Source organism: Homo sapiens, chromosome 16 (assembly GCF_000001405.40).
Source record: "Homo sapiens chromosome 16, GRCh38.p14 Primary Assembly".
Lineage (NCBI taxonomy): Eukaryota > Metazoa > Chordata > Mammalia > Primates > Hominidae > Homo > Homo sapiens.
This window is the reverse complement of record NC_000016.10, coordinates 17,313,335-17,336,544: the sequence shown is the minus strand read 5'-3', so window position 1 is coordinate 17,336,544 and position 23,210 is coordinate 17,313,335. Positions and strand designations below refer to the sequence as shown.

Sequence of the window (23,210 nt, the reverse complement as noted above, 5' to 3'; positions counted from 1 at the left end):
TATCCACATCCATACCCACACCCGCAACCACACAGTAGTGAAGGACGGGGCCCCAGAGTCAACATCTTCTCACTGGCCTTTGCCTGCCTGCTGCTTTTTGGCTTCTTTCCTCTCCATCTCCCCTGACCGTGGACAGCTGCATTCAGAACTCACCATCATGGAGGAAATGGGATATTTTATTTCCCTGACAGAAAACAGAATCAGATGACAGTATTGGGAAACACTGGGGAACCGCCGTGGGGGCTTGGATCTGTTGTTTTTCTTGTTAACTAGGAGTTACAAAAACACTATTGTTGCAGACCTTGCTTTGAAAGTATTTCCAAAGTGTGTTAGTCCATGTTAAATCCATGGCACGGAACTGAATGTGCTTCGGTGATTTAATCAGGTAGGTATCAGTTTCCTCTCTGCCTTCCACGCTCTGCCCTCCATCCACCTCCGCACGTTTCTCCATGCTGTGCACACACCTGGGACACCTTTCCTCTTCTTCCTTTACAAAGTCTTGCCAGCCAGCCAGGCAAAGCGTAGGTCTCAACTTCTCTGTTGCAGCCTTTTCCAAAGTGTCACATGCAAACTGGTGACTCACAAGATGATTTTAAGCTATAACTCCACAGACTTTATAGAAATTAATAGCTCTCTGTTTATTTTTCTAGTTACCTTCCATTTATAGCAAATTATACTAGTTTTTCCACTAATTTAGGAGTAATGTTTCCCTTTTAAATTAAGCCATTGAAGTAAAAATATAGATGAGCTGATTTAAAGAGCCCTGAAAAATAAATAAAACAACAGACATTACATGGATAGGGCAAAAAATGGAAAAGTTACTCAATGAATGATTTTTTTTTTTTTTTTTGAGATGGAGTTTTGCTCTCGTTGCCCAGGCTAGAGTGCAATGACGCTATCTCGGCTCACTGCAACTTCTGCCTTCCGGGTTAAAGCGATTCTCCTGCCTCACCCTCCTGAGTAGCTGTGATTGATTACAGGCGCCCGCCACCATGCCCCGCTAATTTTGTATTTTTAGTAGAGATATGGTTTCTCCATGTTGGTCAGGGTGGTCCTGAACTCCTGACCTCAGGTGATCTGCCTGCCTTGGCCTCCCGAAGTGCTGGGATTACACTCGATGAATGATTTTAAAATGGGAAGGCTTCCTGTGTTCTGGGCTGCGCTCTTCTGCAGTTCCTGTGGGAGCATGTGGATAGTAATTCATTCATTTTTCTGATCTCGGTTTTCTCACCAATAAAAGGGGCTGCCTCATATGTTGGTTAACCCTTGTTCCAGGTGGCCAGTAGGTAGTTTTTTTTTTGTTTGTTATTGTTTTTTTGTTTTTTTGAGACAGAGTCTCACTCTGTCGCCCAGGCTGGGTGCAGTGGCGCAATCTCAGCTCACTGCAACGTCCCCGCGTTCAGTTGAGTCTTGTGCCTCAGCCTCCTGAGTAGCTGGGATTAGAGGCACCCGCCACCATGCCCGGCTGATTTTTGTATTTTTGAGTAGACATGGGGTTATGCCATGTTGGCCAGGCTCATTTCGAACTCCTGGCTTCAAGCAATCCACCCACCTCAGCCTCCTAGAGTGCTGGGATTATAGGTGTGAACCACCACGCCTGGCCCAGTAGCTAGTTTTTATTGGACCCATAAATAGTTGATCTTTTTTTTGTTTTTGTTTTTTGAGATGGAGTCTCGCTCTGTCGCCCAGGCTGGAATGCAGTGGTGCGATCTCAGCTCACTGCAAGCTCCGCCTCCTAGGTTCACGCCATTCTCCTGCCTCAGCCTCCCGAGTAGCTGGGACTACAGGCACCTGCCACCACGCCTGGCTAATTTTTTGTATTTTTAGTAGAGACGGGATTTCACCATGTTAGCCAGGATAATAGTAGATCTTTTTTTAAATGTGTACTTCTCACTGTCCTTGCTAGACTGCAAGGTCCCCTCGGGGAGGGACTTTGTAGGCACTATTAAATGCTACACCTACACATTCCTGGGTGGTTAGTAGAAAAATGGCCTTTTCAAATAATTTCCTTTTTTTTTTTGGTCTGAAGTGTGAATTCATCATTTAGGTGGAAGGTATGGAGAAGGCTTGCATATTGCAAATCAGACAAAGAGGTAATTAATGGGGTGGAGGTCATGGCAGGTGGCTCTTACTGCAGTCACTTTCCTGTGAAGAAAGGCCCTGGCTGTAGAGAAGGGACTTGGCAGTCTGTACTCCAGGACGTCATAGACCCGTGTAAGCCCAAGACCAGTTTGTCAATCATGAGGCACTGTTGGGAGGAAACACTTAGCACGCAGTTACTCACTAGTGACCAATTTGTTTTAAAGCCCCGGCCTAAGTTGTTTATGCTGCTGAGTAAGTTACAGGCAACAGAAATGTATTGCTCACAGTTCTGAAAGCTGGGAAGTCCAAGATCAAGGTGCCAGCAGGTTTGGGGTCTGGTGAGGGTTGCTCTCTGCTTCCGAGATGGTGCCTTGTCACTGTATTATTTGTAGGGGATGAACTCTGTGACCTCACATGGTGAAAGGGATGGAAGGGCAAAAGGGGTTTACTTAGTTCTCTCCATACCTTTTGTAAGGGACTAACCCCATGCATGATAGCGGAACTCTTCTGGCCTGATCACCTCCTAAAGGACCCACCACTTAATACTCTTCCCTTGGGGATTAAATTTCAACATGAGGCCGGGCGTGTGGCTCACAGTTTTAATCCCAGCACTTTGGGAGGCCGAGGTGGGCAGATCACTTGAAGTCAGGAGTTCGAGACCAGTCTGGCCAACATGGTGAAACCCCATCTCTACTAAAAATACAAAAATGGGCCAGGCATGGTGGTACATGCCTGTAATCCCAGTTACTTGGGAGGCCGGGGCAGGAGAATTGCTTGAACTCGGGAGGCAGAGGTTGCAGTGAGCCCAGATGGCTCCACTGCACTCCAGCCTGGGCGGCAGAGTGAGACTTCATCTCAAAAAAAAAAAAAATAAATTAAATTAATTAATTAATTAATTTCAACATGAATTTTGGAGGTGACATGGACGTTGAAACCCTAGCAACCCTCCAGAATCATCATTCTAAACAATCACTTCACACTTTAGCTCCAGATCTGTGCTGTCCCATATGGTAGCCACCAGCCACACAGGGTTACTGAGCACTTGAAATGCAGCCAGTTCCAACTGAGCTGTGCTCTAGGAAAAACTTAGCTCAAACAAAAGAATATAAAACATCTCCTTAATGCTTTTTCATATTTGTTTAGATTTGATACTTTTTCCATATGGATCACATGATGAAATGACAATATTTAGGATGTATTTGGTTAAATCAAATAGATTAATCAATTTCTTTTTACTTTTTTAAAAAACACAGCTACTAGAAAATTTGAAGTTGTACATGTGTCTTGAATGAGGATGAAGGAAATGGACCTGGGTCAGAGTTGAGCCAGAGAAAAGCCCGGAACACAGTTTTTTTTCCATTTTAAATTGTGATTTTCTCAATTCCTGGCCTCAGTCTCCTGAGAGGGAAGAAAAAAAAAAGATTTGAGTTAATTGATGGTTCTGGTTAGTTGGGCTCAGTTAATCAGGGTTCTGCCTCTAATTGCCTGTGCCGTCACCTCTTCCTGGGTTTGCAAACACTCTGCCCTTGTTACCCACTGCTCATGCCCTCTCTGGATTCTGCTTGAGCTACACACGGAAAGGCGGAGGTTGCAGAATTCGGAGCTCCTGCGGACAGACAGGTGGAAGAGTGACAATGGAATGATGGAGTATCTACTGGATGACTATAAATGGCCAGTCTAGGAATGAACTTGAGGTTTAGTTATCTGAAGGCCAGAGTCCTTGGCTCCTGTCTCTTCCAAAACTGACCAGTGTCCACCTGTGGGGAGGTGTGTTGCAAGCTGACCTCTAGAGAGGGACTTTGGAATATCATTCTGTGGAAATTGTAATAGTCCCACTTTGCTCAGGAAGCCGTGTGTGTGTGTGTGTGTGTGTGTGTGTGTGTGTGTGTGTGTGTATGTGTGTGATGGACTCTGGCTCTGTCACCCAGGCTGGAGCGCAGTGGCACGATCTTGGCTCACTGCAACCTCCGCTTCCCGGGTCCAAGTGATTCTTCTGCCTCAGCCTCCCGAGTAGCTGGGATTACAGGAGCACACCACCACGCCCGGCTAATTTTTGTATTTTTAGTAGAGTCAGGGTTTCCCCATGCTGGCCAGGCTGGTCTCAAACTCCTGACCTCAAGTGATCTGCCCGCTTCAGCCTTCCAAAGTGCTGGGATTATAGGCATGAGCCACTACACCCAGCCTGGTGTGTGTTTTGATCGCCTCCACTTCACCCCATGGTTGAAGTAGATTCCCACCCTATGGGGATAACACCCAAAGCTGGACAGACCAGATGGACAGCAGTTTATGTGTCACGTACAGTCAGCCCCAGGGAAGCAGGTGCTGTGCACCATGCAGGGCCACACGGTTGTATCTGGGGACAGGGTGAACATCCAGGGGCCATGGGAGGCAGGCTATGCAGAAGCAAGAAGATGCAATAATCCCTGTGTCCCACAAGGGGATATGATTGTCTTGTTTAAATAATCCCAGAGGCTGGCAGGGAACAGAAACCCACTCTCCAGGGATAGGCAGGCACTGTACCTGGTCTTGCTGAGACAAAGGAGGCTGTCTGGCTAGAGGACCTTATTTGAGGAAGCAAAGTAGTTAGGGAAACTTACATTCAAGCCATATGAGATGCTCTTGGCTTTCCCCAGGTGTCAAGGCAGCACATAATATTAATTTTAGGCCTTATACCACAGTGTGGTGGGGAAAAGTGGACAGTGGAATTATATCTTGGTTTGAGTCCTGGCTGTGGACTCAATCTGAGATAAGTCATTCACCTGGTCAATCCTCAGTGTGCCCATCAATAAAATGGGCTCGTTAACATCTACCATATGTGTGTGTGTATCTGTCTGTCATCAACATATACAGACCCACCACACATTTATCCTCTCAAAAAGGGTGGTTTAATCCCTCCCTCCTTTAAACAACAGCAGTACAACCGCAACCAAATCAGAAAGAGTGTTGAATGGAAAACGTGTGTCTGTTGAGCAAACTCAGTTCTTCAAGCCAAAGGCTACATCTGGCCTTCCATGTACTGTTTCCACAGACTAAATGAGGATTGGTTTTGCATGGCCAGAGGCAGACATTGGCTCATTCTCTTTCAGGGCCAAGGAGCCAGGCTGTTAGTTGATGTCATGCCGAGAGGACATGGCCTCCACCCTTGTTCTGACGCCACTGTCCAAGTGCCGAGTACTCTACCTTGGTGTGGTGAAGGCAACTGCCTGGGATTGAGGCCGGCATGGTCAAGGCGGCCCTGAGAAGGCCTTGTGTGCTGTAGCTTGAGTCATCTCCCCCTCCTCCAGAGTTGGGTCATTGCCTTCTTGGCTTTAGAGGCGGCCTCGCCTGTGCACAGAGCCAAGGGGCTGTGGGGACTCGGAGGAGATATTGGGAAAAGCTGGCAGTGCCCAGTGGCTGCCTGCTCTGCCCATGGGAATGGCCAGGACCTGGTTGAGCATAAGCCCTCCCTTTGTGCAGGGCGGTGGAACATCTGTCAGCTCTTTCCTTCCAAATGCACGGACCATCTTTGTTCAAAGGTAGAACCTCATCTCAGCAATTCAAGGGCAGCAGTCCCTGAAACTCCTCAGGTGCTCAAACGCCACCTGATATGCGCATTGAGGATATCACTGCCCCTTGCTCCTCTACATCTTAAGTAGGGACATTTTCTTTTCTTTTCTTTTTTTTTTTTCCGAGAGGGAGTCTTGCTTTGTCCCCCATGCTGGAGTGCAATGGCGCGATCTTGGCTCATTACTACCTCCGCCTCCCGGGTTCAAGCGATTCTCCTGCCTCAGCCTCCCGAGTAGCTGGAATTACAGGCATGTATCACCATATCCAGCTAATTTTTTTTTTTTTTATTTTTAGTAGAGACGGGGTTTTGCCCTGTTGGCCAGGCTGGTCTCGAACTCCTGACCTTAGGAGATCTGCCTGCCTCGGCCTCCCAAAGTGCTAGGATTACAGGTGTGAGCCACCATGCCTGGCCCAGCAGGGACATTTTCTATGGCACCTCTAGCCTGGGTCACCTTATGGGACCCTGGAGTCACAGCCCAGGGAGTGAAACGATGCGGGTCTTTGATATGTATGGGTGGTGGTGGTCTGGAATCCAGTAAACAGCCAGCAGAATTTCATCATCTGAGGTCTGGATCAACCTGTTCTGCTCCTTCTGGGGGTTGAGTGGATGTAGAGAGAGAATTGCAAGGACCTTGGGGAGCCCAACCCAGTTTATCAGCTGTTTGCACTTATTTGTTTATACGCACGAGTGTGTTGTATATTCATAAATGAACACACAGTTTTGTAATGAGCAAGTGCTTTGTGTCAGATATGGCTCCTGCCCATGTGGAGCTGACAGCTGTGTGTGTGTGTGTGTGTGTGTGTGTGTGTGTATCTACCTCCATATGTGGTGCATATAGATTTGTCACTAAGCAGAGCTGTGACCATTTATTGAGCATCCTGGGGCTATGAATACTGTTCTCATTTAACCCTCACCATCACATTGGTTCATTCAACAGCTATTGATGGAACATGTACTATGGGCTAGGTGTTAGACGCTCAACATTTTGAGGTAGAAACTTCTGGAACCTATGCTATTTTTAGCCTCATTTCATAAATGAGGAAACCCAGACTGTGTGGTCAGGTACCTTGCCTGGGGATACACAATCTGTATGTCACCAAGGTGGGATCCAAGCCTGGTGCCCCTCCCTGTGATGGTTAACTGCCTCTTCTGTGTCCATGTGTAGATTTCCAAGTGGGCATGTCTACAAACTCACGGGTGTCCATGTTTGTGCAAGTAACAGACCCGGAGGCACAGGTTGCTGGTTTGGAGCACGTAATTCCCTACCCTGGCTGGAGTACTACTTCCATGAGTGTTTATTTCCTTATCAGTAGAGCAGTTAGTGATGTCTGTCTACCAGCCTTGTGGAATATGAGAGGGGAAAAGGGTGGGGCAATGAGATAATGTTGGAGAAAGGCCATTTTTGACTGAAAAGAACCATGTGGATGAAGACCCGTATAGATAAAGAACTAAGAAAACCAGCAAGATGAAAAGATTTACTATTGGCATAAGGACGTTAACATGTATCAAATATCTACTATGTTTTCCAATTGATGTTTACAGTTACGCAGCAATGTATTATATCCCCCCATGGTAAAAGAGGGAAACTGAGTCTCACGGTTACAGAGTGGTGGATTGAAATAATTTGAATCCAGATCCTGCCCTGTCCAGAGCCCATGTTCCTTGTGGCAGAGCAGGGCTTGATAAACTACGGCTCATGGGCTAAATGCTGCCAGCCATCTGTTTTTGTAAGTGGAGTTTTATTGGAACACAGCCTCGCCCATTTGTTACGTACTCGTCTATGTCTGTTTTGAGCTACAGCGGCAGAGCTGAGCCGTTGTGAGAGAGATCACGTGGCCTGCTAAACTGAAAATCTTAACTGTCTGACCCTTTACTGAAAAAGTTTGCAAACCACTGTTCTAAGAAGGCCTGTGATAAGGATGGATTTTTAAAAGCAGTACATAGAAATGCTACAAAATGTGAACATGCACACACGCATACCTCCAGCAAAACTTCAGCCATCTGGAGCGTTTTGGAGGCTTTGGGAGCCTCATTTCTGGAGAGTTAAGCTTTACTTTTAAGGAATTTTTCTAAACTCTATCACCCATTTATTTTCCTGCCTTCTCAAATAGAGTACGCTGAATGTGTGTGAAGCCTTCCTTGAAGAATCCAGCCATCATTTCAAGCACTAGGTTTTAGATTCTGCTAAAAGCACTGATGGTTGCGCACGGGCATCAAAAATGCTGTAGCTCTTCACTCAGTGACCCTGGAGTCCCTTTAAAAAATAAAAATCTGCCTCTTTTTTGATAATTTTTTTTCTGCTCTTGCATTTCTTGCCTAGTGTTATTTATCACACCTTCTTTTTTTTTTTTTTTTTTTTTTTTTTTTGAGAAGGAGTCTTGCTCAGTCACCCAAGCTGGAGTGCAGTGGCACAATCTCAGCTCACTGCAACCTCCACCTCCTGGGCTCAAGCGATTCTTCTGCCTCAGCCTCCCGAGTATCTGGGATTGCAGATGTGCGCCACCATGCCTGGCTAATTTTTTTGTATTTTTAGTAGAGACGGGGTTTTGCCATGTTGCTTAGGCTGGTCTCAAACTGCTGACCTCAGGTGATCTGCCCACATCAGCCTCCCAAAGTGCTGGCATTACAGGTTTGAGCCACTGCACCCGGCCTATCATGGCTTTTAATATGCCTGATTGTGACAATCAGCTGGCCCTGCTTCTCAACCCTAGAAATAATCTCATTCATTAGAAATGAATACAGAGAAAAATAGGCTCTGGTGGTAAACCCGGGGCACCTGTCTCTCCCTACTATTCTAGGCTGTTCTGTACAGCCGAGCTCTGTGAAAGGGAGGTTACGTGGTCTGTGGTTGTTTACTCCTGCAATTAATTCAAAGGAGGGAGGTGGACTCAATTTCTCCCTCCATGATGGTCCTCTCCTCCCAGTGTTCAGAGTAACGATAGTCAAGGCAACATCAAGTCCTTGAAGCAGAGGAGTGTGGCTGGAGCCTCACACTTTGCAAATACCTGATCTTATCCTCCAGTTATGCTTCAAGAGCCAGAGCTGGCTGTTAGTTACTTTAATCTTGATCACAGATGTTAGCACAGAAAAGGTTGACTGAGTTTGGCTCACCGCGATGGAATTTAAGACGAGGAAAATGCAGACTTGCCTGTGAAATCCAAGCATAATGGCCTATTCCAAGACGTAGTTATAAAATAGAAGCTGATTGTGATCAATTATGAAAAGGCAGTTGTTGGCCAGGCGTGGTGGCTCACACCTGTAATCCCAGCACTTTGGGAGGCCGAGGCGGGGGGGGGGGGGGGGGGGGGGCGGGATCACGAGGTCAGGAGATTGAGACCATCCTGGCTAACACGGTGAAACTCCGTCTCTACTAAAAATACAAAAAATTAGCCGGGCATGGTGGTGGGTGCCTGTAGTCCCAGCTACTCCAGAGGCTGAGGCAAGAGAATGGCGTGAACCCGGGGGGCGGAGCTTGCAGTGAGCCAAGATGGCGCCACTGCACTCCAGCCTGGGAAACAGAGCGAGACTCTATCTCAAAAAAAAAAAAAAAAAAAGAAAAAAGAAAAGAAAAGGAAGTTGTTGCTCGTTTTTAATCATTCAACCCGAGTATGGCTGTTTTTGTTGACAGGTGTTTTATCTACTTTGTGAATAATTCTTAAATATACATGCTTGGCCTCTCAAACACTTTTTAAAAAATAATTTAAAACGTTTAGTTGGAATATAAAGGTTGAATGTATTCAATGTGTTCAAGGTGTGATGATTTGATATACACATACATTGTGTGATGATGACATTACACAAATGAATGAACACATCATTCCCCACCCGTGCTGTCCATTAGCTCCTCAGAACTTGTCTATTGTATAACTGAGAATTTTTTATTTTGGTTGGTGGTGTTTGTCCTTGGCCTTCTGCCATCAGCAGGGTCGGCTTCATGGACATGCGGCCTGTGCAGTCACACACAGCTCCATGGCTCTGCACTTGTTTGAATTTCTGTTGTCAGCATCCTAAGATTCTTAATTAATTTTGCATAAGAGGTCCTGTGTGTTTTTTTTGTTGTGTTTTTGTTTTTTTTGTTTTTTTTTGTTTTTGAGATGGAGTCTCACTCTGTCACCCAGGCTGGAGTGCAGTGGCGCGATCTCGGCTCACTGCAAGCTCCGCCTCCCCGGTTCACGCCATTCTCCTGCCTCAGTCTCCCAAGTAGCTGGGACTACAGGTGCCTGCCACCACGCCCGGCTAATTTTTTTGTATTTTTTAATAGATAAGGGGTTTCACCGTTTCAGCCAGGATGGTCTCGATCTCCTGACCTTGTGATCCGCCCGCCTCGGCCTCCGAAAGTGCTGGGATTACAGGCGTGAGCCACCGTGCCAGGCCGAGGTCCTGTGTTTTTATTTTGCCTTGGGTCTCATGACTTAGGGGGTCTATTCCAGCCATCATGGACTAAGAGCATGGAATACCAAAGGCAAAAGGAGCTTAGAGGTCAACCTTTCAAAATTCTTTATTTTAAAGGTAGGAGAACTGAAGCCAAAAAGAGGGAGTTACTTGCCCAAGATCACAGGAGGATGGATAAAAGAATGGTTACCACGGGATGGGGGAGAGGAAAATGGGGAGGCATTTTCCAATTGGTATAAAGTTTCAGTTCTGCAAGACGAGTAAGTTGTGGAGATCTGCTGGACAGCATAGCACCTGTAGTTAACAATACTGCATTGTATACTTAAAAATGTATTGAGAGTAGATCTCATGTTAATGTTCTTGCCACCAAAAAAGGGGGACACGAGACTTTTAGAGGTGACGGATATGTCTGTTACCTTGATTGTGGTGATGGTGTCACGAGTCTGTGCATGTATCCAGACTCTTCAAAATGCATACATTAAGTACATGCACTTTTTTTTGTATGTCAGTTATACCTCAGTAAAGCTGTTTGAAAACAATCAGGATAATGGATGGCAGATTCAGACAAGCGGAACACGGATCTCAGGTCCCTCCTGAACATAGGGGCTTTCCCCTGCATAGACATGATGCTTCCTGCCCAGTTCATGCTTAGAAATGATGAGCTAATTTAATAATCATCTAACAGTTAATACTTATGAATTTAAATTTCTCATTATCCTCTTTCTCCCAGTACACATAGACACAGAGTAAGTAGCCAGATTAGGGTAAGACTCTCAAAAATGCTAGCAATTTCTCTGAATTAAATGTTTGAATGGAATTTTTTCCCCCACTCATAAGGCAATATATTCCCACGGTTGGAAATTTGGAAAATGACCAAGAAGGAAAAAATAAAATCGCCATGCCAGCTTTTTGTATGTTTTTTTCCAGTCTTCTTTTCCGTGTATGTGTATTTTCTACATAATTGATTTCAACCTCTATTTATGGGAACCTTTTAGATCCCATTTAATATTAGATTAAATTATATGAAATTGCTGTTTTCATTGGTCAGAAAAGGGTCAATATTGGCAATTTGATGATCAAATTGCAAAAGCATCTTCTAAAATCAGAGTATTCTTTTTGTTTTGAGACAGAGTCTCGCTCTGTCGCCCAGGCTAGAGTGCAGTGGCACCATCTTGGCTCACTGCAACCTCCACCACCCTGGTTCAAGCAATTCCCCTGTCTTAGCCTCCCAAGTAGCTGGGATTACAGGCGCACGCCACCTATGCCCAGCTAATTTTTTTGTATTTTTAGTAGAGACAGGGTTTCACCATGTTGGCCAGACTGGTCTCGAACTCCTGACCTCAGGCAATCTGCCCACCTCAGCCTCCCAAAGTGCTGGGATTACAGGCATGAGCCACCGTGCCCGGCACCCCCGCCCAGAGTATTCTTTTCAAACATCATATATATTGGCTGCATATTTTTTTTTCCATGAGGCTACATGCAGTTACATAGCGTTTTTTGAACCACATAATAGATACTTATAAATAAATAACATCCATAATTATATATAAATAGCTATAACTCGTGTTATGATAAAGCATCGTCTTTCTTTGCCTTCATAAATGGAATATTCATTTAAAAATAACTTTCATGAGTATTTTATAACAAAGCTTGAAAAAAAGAGAAGAAAGATCGGTGAAATCATTATTCCGAAATAAAATCTTTGATGCATGTCTTTCCGGTCTTTGTTTTCTACATTTATGTGTGTCTGAAAGCCTGCATTTGTTCACTAAAAACATGTGGTGCACATTAAATAGAATCCTATGAATCTGATTATGTTTATTCCCAATGACCGTGGGGGATCTTTTCAAAAAGGACTACTCAGAGCGTTGTCGGTCCATGGACCAGTGCCATCCCCAGGGTTTCTCACTGTGTGCACGAAGACGCGCTCAGAAACGAAGGACAAGCTTTCAGCAGCTTTTATAGTAACCGGACATGGCATGGCACCTAAGCAAGTCAATCTTTTATTTTTAATGCTTCTTTTTTTGTTTTATTTTACAAAATTAGCACCCTGCAGTAGACTGGGCATACAAAGGCCTTTCTCCACAGCTGGTTTGAGAAGCACTGCTGTGGAACGTGACCATCATACCTGGCCACTGCAAAGGGACAGGCGCTGGCTCCTAGGTCCTCACCGCATGTGTCATGCTGGGCTCTGAAAATCCCTGTGTCTGCTTTCTTGTGGTATTTTTTTCTTTTTCTGTCCCTTCTTGCTGCTCCCAGTGAGCCTGTCTCTAGCGTTACCATTTTCTCCCTTTTCTCTTCTGTCCTTTTCTTTTTCCCTTGACCTTTTTCTTTTTATTTCTCACTTTTTTCCCTTGTTGTCTCTGGATTGGCAAGGTGGAGAGAGAATTAGCAATCCCCATGACCATGCTTGTTAAGATGAGTTGGGAAGCATGTGTGCATGGGACCTGAGCTGGGGTCTCAGAGTGTGCCTGTCTAAAACAAATGAGCTTTCTACCCAGCTGTTGTGACATGTCTTCCCATAGCTTGAGAACAAGTCTGTTTCATACTTTAGTAGATACGGGTTGCATTTTAGATCTGAAGTTGGCCAGCTCTGAATAAGTTAAATGTTTTAAAGCTACATATGATGCTTTTAGTATTATCTGCGCTTCGGAACTTTCTGTGTCTCTGCCATCTGCTCTTGACCTAGAATCGAGAGCAGAGTCTGATCAGACCTGGGCATATTCATCTGGGGACTTGGGCACTACCTGATCTTTTTTTTTCAAAAGGAGAAAAAACCCAGAGAAAGCAGCTACACACTGGTGATGTCCTGTTGCCAGTGAACAGGAGCAAGTGGCAGTAAGCTCTGGAGTGATTCCTCAGGCCCCATCAACCTAATGTCCCCTGGGCTACATGTACAAGTCCGGAGCTGGGAATAAAGTGAACCGTGATGACGAAATAACTGGCTTTAGTTAAATAATTTGCTGTTTACCGCTTCTCTGTTTATGAATCAGTTAAAAGCCCTTTTAAGTGAAATTGGATAGACTACAAAGTGTTGGTTTCATGTGTTTTATTTGCAGTTTAATCAGCGTGATCCAGCTGCTGGAGTGGGGAGAGTGGAGCCGGGGTTTTAATTATCCCTGCTTTGCCCGAGTTAGGAATTCCCAATGGTGCCGTCTGCGCGAAGATGCCAAAAACCGCATTGTTCTTTAATTAGCTGTTGTAATTGTTTTAGTCTAATCTCCGTGATTAGCAGCAGCATTAAATACAGCAGGAAGAATAGGCCTGTCCTCTACGTACTGCCCCAGTAAACAGAGCCTTTCTCCCTTCTGGAGAGGGATATCATAGAAAATCAATTAGAACTCAACCAGTGTTGATTGGAAAATGATAAAGACCAGCCACCATGAAGCAGAGATGGCTTTGAGGAGTTGGTTTATGGCCTCCATGGCCAGCTTGCCTGGAGAGCTCTGCAGCCCTGACCTGCCATGGAGGTATTTGGCTAGGACCTGCCAGATGGCCCTGTCCCTCTCTGGGGATGAGGAAATGGACCGGATTGGCACCAGCTGCTGTTTTGCCTTTAGGTTCTCTGTTTCATGCATTCAGCCACAAGCTTTCATCAAGCACCCCCTTTGTGCCAAACATCATGCCAGGGGCCTGGAGATACAGCACTGCACAAGGCAGAGACAGTTCCTGTCTGCATGGAGTCTATAGTCTATAGGAGGAGACTGATGGTCACCAAACACTTGCACAAGTGTTGGGTTCTTTTAAAGTGTGAAATGCTATGAAGGGGAGCTAGGAGAGAGTTTAACGGAGATAACTCATCTGGTCAGTGAGTTGGCAGGGCTAGGAGGGTGTCCTAGACAATGGAAGTATAAACTGAGATCCAATGAGTAAAAAAGAGTTAGCAGGGCAAAGAGGCCAGAGTGAAGACATATACATCATCAGGAGCAGCATGTGCAGAGGTCCTGAGGCAGGCTGGAATTCGATCCTTTCTGCTCATTGCTCTATTAGAGGCAGGAGAGTATGGTGGGAGTGAGCCAGATTCTGGATCTAAACCCCTTGTTAAAACCCTATCTCAGCTGCATGAAATTCTTCAAAGGACACTGCAGCACTCTGTCTCAGCGTCCCAGGATGTAAAATGGAGATGATGATGATGACGATGATGATTATATTATCTAGTTCATGGGAATGAATTAAGTTTCTACTTGTCGGGTCTTCAGAGCACTGCCTGGTAGGTACTGTGAGGCTTAGGAGGTGTGAGCTGGCATCATTAATCTGTTGGGGTAGCCTTCTCTTTGAAGTTTAACAGAATAGGCTAAAATCTAAATCTGTCATGTACAAGTCTTGTGACTTTGGCCTAGTTACCTAACCTTGCTGTCCCCGCTGTCTTATGCATGAAGCGAAAACACAGTCAAAGAACTCAGAGTTGCCATGTGAGTTAAGTAAGATAACTCAGGGGTTCCGTTCTGTTGTAAGCCATTGTTTGGTGCTCAGAAAGTAGTGGCTATTGTCATTATTCGTGAAACATCTGCTTGGTATGTGTTTGGTGTTGAAACTCAGTGATGATAAGTTCCCTTCACTACTTCTTCTTTCCTTCCCATTGTTAGCAAGGCTGCGCTGTCCTCCCCAAGTTCACAGAAAAGATAGCTCCGCAGCAGGGTTTGCCAACCTTGCCACCATACCATTTGGGGCTGGATAAGTCATTTTTTGTGTGCAGGGGTTCCCAGGTACTGTAGGATGTTTAGAAGCATCTCTGGTCTCTACCGAGTAGATTCCAATAGCACCCCATCCCTGGAACCACAATGTCTATGGACATTGCCATATGTCCCCTACAGGGCAAAATTGCCCCCGATTGAGAACCACTGCTCTAAGGAGAACAGAACAGATAGCTGGGTGTGGTGGCTCATGCCTGTAATCCCAGCACTTCGGGAGTCTGACACGGGGAGATCACTTGAGGTCAGGAGTTCGAGACCAGCCTGCCCAACATGGTGAAACCCCATCTCTACTAAAAATACAAAAAGTAGCAGAGCGTGGTGGTGCATTCCTGTAATCCCAGCTACTTGAGAGGCTGAGGCAGGAGAATTGCTTGAACCAAAGAAGTCAAGGCTGCAGTGAACTGAGGTCATGCCACTGCACTCCAGCCTGGATGACAAAGTGAGACTGCCTCAAAAAAAAAAAAAAAAAAAAAAAAAAAAAAAAAAAGGCTAGTTAGTACTTTGGGAACTGTCCAATGTGGGCTATTACAGTAAAAATAGTAAAGTTTGTTGGGGAGGGCAGTGTGCAGTGGGCAGTTGTGAGATCCTTTGAGCATGAGGCGTTTATAGTGGTTTTCAATTTCAGATTCATGTTGGAATCACCCGGGGAGAGTAAAAAGCAGATGTACAGCCTGCCCCACTGGAGTCTGATGTTGTGGGTATGGATACAACTCCAGGGTAATTCGTAGCTCTCTAGGTGATTCCAATGGGCCTCAGAGTTGAGGAGCACTTTGTAGATGAGGAGCTAACCTACCTGTGTGAAAAAAAGGTACTCAGGGAAACCTGCATGGAATGGTAGGGACAGGGCTCCACCTACCCTAGATGACATTTATTCACATACAAGGCATAAAAAGTGCTAAGTGCCTTACGTATATTTTACCGAAGTCCTTTATGTATGTTAACTCATGCAGTGCCAAAAACAATTCTATGAGTCAGGAACTATTATCATTAACCTCATTTCCGTGGTAAGAAAACCTAGGCACAGAGTGGTTAAGAAACTTTTCCAAGGTCGGCCAGATGCGGTGGCTCATACCTGTAATCCCAGCACTTTGGGAGGGCAAGGTGGGCAGATCACGAGGTCAGGAGTTCAAGACCATCCTGGCCAACATGGTGAAACCGCGTCTATACTAAAAATACAAAAAAATTAGCTGGGTGTGGTGGTGGGGGCCTGTAGTCCTAGCTACTTGGGAGGCTGAGGCAGGAGAATCGCTTGAACCCAGGAGGCGGAGGTTGCAGTGAGCCGATATCGCACCACTGCACTGCAGCCTGGTGACAGAGCAAGACTCAGTCTCAAAAAAAAAAAAAAAAGAAACTTTTCCAAGGTCACACAGCTAAGGAAACTCACAACTCATGCCCCATTTCCTCAGGAGGTGGGGCAGAAAGAGGTTTTGGATGTAAGCATTGGGAATGGTGTGTTTGAGGGTCTTCATAGTGGGTTAGATGAAGGCCTTGATGCGATAGATTGGAGGGAATGCCAAACTTTCACCCATCCCCTCATCAAGCCTTTATTGAGCACCTGCTGTGCTTCAGGCACTGTGCTAGGTTTTTGGAAATACACTGCTAATCAAAACAGGCACGGTTCCTTTTTCTGAATGTTTACAACCTCCGTAGTCTGGGGAAGAAAGAGACAGGAAACAAACAATACATATATCACTACAAATGTTGATTAGTGGTAATAAAGAAGTGAAGAAGGAGCTGCTGTCAGATCAAATGGAGTGGGCTATGTTATGTAGGATGGCCAGGGAAGACTGAGGGTTGAATGAGGAGCTAGTCCCAGAAGAGCCAGAAGAAAGGCTGTTCTGGGCAGAAAGAAAAGAGCATGCGAACTGCCTGGCGCTTAGCATGGTTGAAGACTCCAGGAATTCCAGTGGGGAGGGGAGCTGAGAAAAGGGGATGGGAGAAGGTGGAGAGGTACGAAGGGGCCAGATGACATAGGCCATTATTTCCATTCAGTGGGGAAACTAAGGCCCAGAAATGGGGTGAGGGGTGCCTCAAATGTCAGAGCTGGAATTCAAATTCAGGCTTGGTATCTTGATATGAGATGTTCCTGGGCGGGGTGTGGGGGCTCACGCCTGTAATCCCAGCACTTTGGGAGGCCGACATGGGAGGATCACTTGAGGCCAGGAGTTCAAGACCAGCCTGGCCAATATGGTGAAACTGACTGTACTAAAAATACAAAAACTAGCTGGGCGTGGTGGTGCTTGCCTGTAATCCTACCTATTTGGGAGGCTGAGTCATGAGAATCGCTTGAATCCGGGAGGCAGAGGTTGCAGTGAGCCACGATTGCGCCACTGCACTCCAGCCTGGGTGACACAGATTTAGTTTCCAAAAAAAAAAAAAATTCCTGAATGGTCTCTGTTTCACACTCTCTGACCCATTCTTTGATCAGCCTATGTGTTCTGATGCGGAATTTGGGAAATAGAATAAAGACAGGACCCTTCCTGTCATGCTCTTAGAATCTCTCAGGCAAGGTACTGTGCTGCACCTTGAACATGGTAGGCATTGAACAAATGTTTCAAGATCATTTATTATAAGTTCCAGGCATTCTGATAGATTTTTTTTCATGTATTTCTTTCTGTGGCCTTGAAAGTAAGCCCTTCCCAATAAATGCACAGTCATTGCCTCCATTTTACGTACTTGAAAACTGAGGCTTAAAAAGTGGAGGTAGCTCATTCAAGTTCACCCAGCAAGAGAATAAGGAGAGGCCAGGCATGGTGGCTCATGCTTGTAATCCCAGCACTTTGGAAGGCGTAGGCGGGCAGATCACCTGAGGTTAGGAGTTTGAGACCAGCCAGGCCAACATGGTGAAACCCTGTCTCTACTAAAAATACAAAAATTACCCCGGCATGGTGGCACATGCCTGTAATCCCAGCTACTCGAGAGGATGAGGCAGGAGAATCGCTTGAACCCAGGAAGCAGAGGTTGCAGGGAGCTGAGATCGTGCCACTGCCCTTCAGCCTGGGCGAGAGTTAGACTCATCTGAAGAAAAAAAAAAAAAAAGAGTAAGCAGATCCCAGGATGGAACCACATGGAGTTCTTGTCATCATAATCCTTGCTTTTCCCACTATAGTTTTCTGGTTTTTCTCTGCATCGTCTTGAGTGTCTGGAAGTTCATTATATACATCTGTAGACTCAGTTAACAAATTCATGGAACCAGGTTCTGAATTCCAGTAGTGCTTCGGATCTGCATAACTGACCCCAGGATTGCATGACGTTGCATTTTGCTAAAGCACAAACATCATCTTTGCATGCGGGAAACAGGCCTTTAGCTGGTTGGAGAACCAAGCCAGGACCTTCTACCCTGCAGGAGGAAAGGAGGAAGGATTCATTGGTGTGGGAGCCTTGGTAATACTTAGGAAGTGATTTACAAAACAAAACACAATCTTGGCCTTGTGATGAAATGTACTCCTCCCCCGAAAAGCCATGTGCTGGTGTTGACTTTGGAAGTCTAGCTGTTTGAACAGGAGCTGCTGATTCAGCAGAGTGTCCTGTGATGAGGCTGTGTAGCTCAGTGGTTAAGAGCCCCGGCTTTGGAGTGAGATCAAGTAAACCCAGGGTCCAGTTCCCATTCTCTCTTTCATTTCTTCCTTGAGTATTTATTCAGCATCCGCTATGTGTTGGTATCACGTCAGGCATTAGATATACTGGGAATCTGGAAATCTGAAAATCCAAGGTCTCAGCTTCACCGACCTTAGCAAGAAGACACAGATGATAAACACATAAGGAAATACATAAGAACGCTTCAAACAAGTGAAAAGGTGCTGTGATAATGGTTAAACAGGGTGACAAGACGGGTAATGACTGGTGTGGGGTAGGTAATTAACTGATCCCAGCATTGAGCAATGGGAATAAACTAGACAGATATTCAAGGATGCAGGGAAAAGCATTCCAGGCAGAGGAATAGTGTGTGCAAATGCCCTGAGGCAGGAATGAGCTCGCCGTGGTGGCTGAAACATATTGATGAGTGAGAGGAAGAGAGGGGACATTACAGAGGTGGGCAGTAGCTAGATCCTGTAGGACATCATAGGCTATGATAAGGAGCTTGGATTTTATTCTGATTACAAAAGGAAACATGATTTAACATGTGAGGGTAAAGAGATACTGCATACCATAAATACTAGCTCCTGATGCCTTTTTTTTTTTTTTTTTTTTTTTTTTTTTGAGACAGCGTCTCCCACCGTGGCCCAGGCTGGAGTGCAGTGGTGCAATTATGGCTCACCGCAAACTCGATCTCCTGGGCTCAAGCCATCCTCCCACCTCAGCCTCCCAGGTACCTGGGACAGACACATGCTACCATACCCAGCTAAGTTTTGTATTTTGTGTAGTGATGAGTTACTACTCTGTTACCCAGGCTGGTCTTGAACTCCTGGGCTCAAACCACCCTCCCGCCTAGGCCTCCCAAAGTGCTGAGATGACAGGCATGAGCCACTGTGCCTCATCTGATGCCATTATTTATTGTGGTTAATTTTAATTTGGGCATTCATTTACCAGTCTTCCAGGGCATCCGTCAAGAATGTCAAAGGTTGCCTCACCTCTCTAATTGTAAATGACCCAAAGAGAAGTTACAGTCAAGGAACCATGAAGAAATGGCAGGAGGCAAACACCTAGATGGGGAAACAGATCACAGTTTATTGCTGCAACATTGAGAGCTCCATAAAATCTGCCTGGGGGCCGGGCACGGTGGCTCACGCCTGTAATCCCAGCACTTTGGGAGGCCGAGGCGGGCGGATCACGAGGTCAGGAGATCGAGACCATCCTGGCTAACACGGTGAAACTCCGTCTCTACTAAAAATACAAAAAATTAGCCGGGCGAGGTGGCGGGCGCCTGTAGTCCCAGCTACTCGGGAGGCTGAGGCAGGATAATGGCGTGAACCCCAGGTGACGGAGCCTGCAGTGAGCCGAGATTGCGCCACTGCACTCCAGCCTGGGCGACAGAGCGAGACTCCGTCTCAAAAAAAAAAAAAAAATCTGCCTGTGGTTTCAAAGTGAGCTCTTTCAGGTAACAGGGTCTGTGTAAAATTAGCTTTACCACCAAATCCTGCTGTCTGAGCCAGCCAAGCAGAAGTAAAACAGAGCCTCAAGAGCAGGGATCCTGGCTGGGTGCTGTGGCTCACGCCTGTAATCCCAGCACTTTGGGAGGCTGAGGCAGGAGGATCACTTGAGGCCAGGAGTTCAAGACCAACCTGGACAACATAGTGAAACCTTGTCTCTACAAAAGTTAACAAAATCATCCAGGCATGGTGGCACGTGCCTGTAGTCCCAACTACTTGGGAGGCTGAGGTGGGAGAATCACTTGAGCCCAGGAGGTAGAGGCTGCAGTGAGCAGAGATCACACCACAGCACTCCAGCCGGGGCGACAGAGAGAGACTGTCTCAAAAATAAATAAATAAATAAATAAAAAGCAGGGGGTCCTAACTCTTGTTTCATCTCTCTGAATTCCCCAAATCTGCATGGAGGGGGAGGCATGGTGGTTTTTCTCCCCATCTCCACTGTTGGGCGAAACTCTGTAAATACATGCTGCCAATAACCTACAGTCCCCAGGGCTCCGATGACATGTGTAAATATCTCTTCTCCATGTGGTGTTCAAAGACTGAGTCAATAAGCTTAATTTCCTGTGGATTCCACTGTTTGGTTCCACAGCCTAGAAAATTGATCAGATAAAAGCTGTGCGCTTCGGGGAGAATAGTTTGTGTTGTGAGTGGTGAAAGGTGGAGGCAGTGTGGCCAACCAGGTGGGGGCTATTTCCTAGTGCCCCTTTGCTGTTGTACTCTGTTGGGATCTGACCCAGGTGCGGCTGCAATTTCCTAAGCTTCTCCTGGCGTCTTCTAGGGACTTTACAGATCATCTTCATGTTCTCGTTGGCCCTTTGTCAAAGCGCTAAGATCTTGGTTTAATGCAGTGGTAAGGACCTCCTACCAGGGACTTGCCGAGGCATGATCAGGGCAAGGTCATCTAATTTGAGTTCAGAGAAACTGGGTATAGGGTCAAAGGGCCTAGCCTTGGAGTCAGACTTGAGATCTACCACCAGGTGACCTTGGGCAAGTTGCCTGAGCCTCTCTGAGCTTCCGTTTTCTAACCTGAAGCTAATTCTGTGTCTGCCTCATGGGGTCCATTTGTTCGCCATAATTTATTAAGCACCTACTTTGTGCCAAGTCTTATGCTATGGGGCTGGAGGAAATGCAATGGGAATAGACTTATCTTTGACTTCCTAGAATAATAGACATCCTGGTAGAGAGACGGGACAAAACCAACAACCAACACATAGGTACAGTGTTACAATAACGATCTGCTGTGACTAGTGCTGAGATAGAAGCAGAAGATTCTAGAATTGAGAGTTAGGGGAGCGAGAATTCTCTACTTGTGATAGGGGTTTGGGAAATGGCTCTCCAGGAAACTGACATTTCAGCTGAGATGCAAAGGATGAGGCTGGGGAGAAGAACATGCCAGTAGGGGGAAGAACATGTGCAAATGCACAAGGTGACAAAGAGCATCCACAAGGCAGGAGATAGATGGAGACCAGGGTAGCTGGAGGGAGGGAAAGAGAAATGAGTTTGGGTTGAATGGAGAGGCAGGTTCAGGACATGCTGAGCTTTGTAAGTCAGTCCTAGGAAGGAGAATGGATTTTCTCCTAAGGACTTGCCTGGCTTTTTTCTGTAGTCTCTAAATCTTCCTCCCTCCTTCTGCCTTTTCCCCAGGTGGGCCATCCCCAGCATAGCTCCCAGAGCTGCTCTTTTAAATCATGAGTCAGATGAAGTCTTGACTCTGCGAATAACCCGCCACGTGGCTCCTCATGCCTCTTTCAGTATAAGCCAAGGCCTGACCTTGGCCCACCAGGCTGCATTTGACCTGGGTACCTCTCACCTCTCTACTTTATCACCTCCGCCACCTACACACCTGCCTGACAAACTCGTACCAGGACTGAACTTTTCTCTTTTTCTTTGGCTAAGCTTCTAGCTGTCAAGTTGTATATGAGTTATATAATACAAAGCATCCCTTTTTGCTTTGGCCACCAGGGAGCTCAGAGCCTCATCTAATGTTAATCATAATTATTCTGTTAGCTTTGGTTTGTCAAGTTTCTCCTCTATCACTTTGATTATTGATTTTTCTCTCACTAGTGTAGTGGTTTTCTTGTTTCTGTGTCTTTCATCACAGGCCTTTCTTTCCTGGAATGGGAGGGGATAGATAATAATTTGGTTTCGCATGTTGCTCTCAGCTGATTGTGCATACATTTTCACCCAGTATGCGTTCTCTTGGATAGCAGATGGATGGATGGCTGCCATTCATGGAGGAGCAATTGGTGGGAGTCAGAGAGGTACTTCTCATGCTCCAAGGGAAGCCTGTAGTGCATATTCTAGGACCTGGAATCTAGTGGTTTCTAGAGGGCTCTAAAAAAATGACTGACTCGGCAACGTGCAGCGGGGTGGGCTGACTAAGCACTTTTCCTCCCTCTCTGCAGCACCCCAAGGGTGCTGTTTTGTGGGTGATGAGTGGGCCTGGGGAGGCTCCTGAAGTCAGGGCCCACCAGGTTCCCTGCTGGGGAGCCAGTGACGTGTTAACTTAAGGGCCACACACAAGGGGCCTGTTGCTTCTAATCTTTCTCTAGGATCTCCTGATCTTGAGATTTTGGAGCTCCTGAAATGATTTCTGGACAAGAGTCGACTTTAGAATTCAAAGCTAGTAACTAGTGAGTCGACAAGTTTGGTTTGGCCTGCAGAGTGTCTTAAAACAATTGAGTTCTAATGTTCTTTTGGCTGGACAGACCCTCTCCAGTGTCCTGACCCTCCCAGGGTGGATTGATTTATCACTGATGACCTTGACACATGGCTGAGGCCTGGCCTGTCTGAGGCAACTGCATTTTGAATCTCTGGACAGAATAGAAATAAAAGCCCCTTAATTATATCCCCTTATTCCCATTCTCCCTGTAGGTTCATAGTTTGGGCTGGATCCTTCCAGCCTAATCCACACTTTTCAGCTGAGGATACTGAGTCTTGGAGAGGTTAACAGATGAGGCTGTTTCTTGGGTCCTAACCACAGTCGCTCCATGTCTGGGCAGAACCACTCCCAATGCTATCATGGATTCCTATGAACTTTTTTTTTTTTTTAATGGTTTGGATGTTTTCCCCTCTAATGAAAGGAAACCTTTTCTTGCCTAAGTTACACAGACAGCATTATAGCAGCATCAATGCTGTTGAAGGAAAGAATTCACCCACAGTCCCACGGATCTGGCTAGAAACCAAGCTGTGTGCATGGGTCTAAGCAGTCCCTGTCCACATGCATAGATCATCTCCACATATTTCTAAGCACAGGGAACATTCCCTTCCAAGGAGCCCAACACTCCATAAAAGTCAGCAGGAAAGGGGGGCCTTGTCTGGTAGGTCGCTGGCTGCCAAGGCTGGCTTGTGTGGGAGGCCTTTTTTGGTGGTGTTACAGCTTTACTGGATGTCCTGTCTGTCCCC

The 23,210-nt window shown here is 46.1% G+C and overlaps 1 protein-coding gene across 3 annotated transcripts in view, besides 2 other annotated features; it reads left to right on the top strand.

The window, feature by feature from the left end:
- Window positions 1-23,210, top strand: part of XYLT1 (xylosyltransferase 1) — a 369,192-nt gene that overhangs the window by 134,416 nt on the left and 211,566 nt on the right. The gene's annotated exons all lie outside the window — the stretch shown is intronic.
- Window positions 5,318-5,841: an enhancer, noted in NCBI's record as "H3K27ac-H3K4me1 hESC enhancer chr16:17424561-17425084 (GRCh37/hg19 assembly coordinates)". NCBI's record gives its function as "activates a minimal SCP1, AML or CMV promoter by ChIP-STARR-seq in naive H9 embryonic stem cells {active_cell/tissue: H9 hESC(naive)}" and the evidence as "EXISTENCE:reporter gene assay evidence [ECO:0000049][PMID:30033119]".
- Window positions 15,404-15,903: an enhancer, noted in NCBI's record as "H3K27ac hESC enhancer chr16:17414499-17414998 (GRCh37/hg19 assembly coordinates)". NCBI's record gives its function as "activates a minimal SCP1, AML or CMV promoter by ChIP-STARR-seq in primed H9 embryonic stem cells {active_cell/tissue: H9 hESC(primed)}" and the evidence as "EXISTENCE:reporter gene assay evidence [ECO:0000049][PMID:30033119]".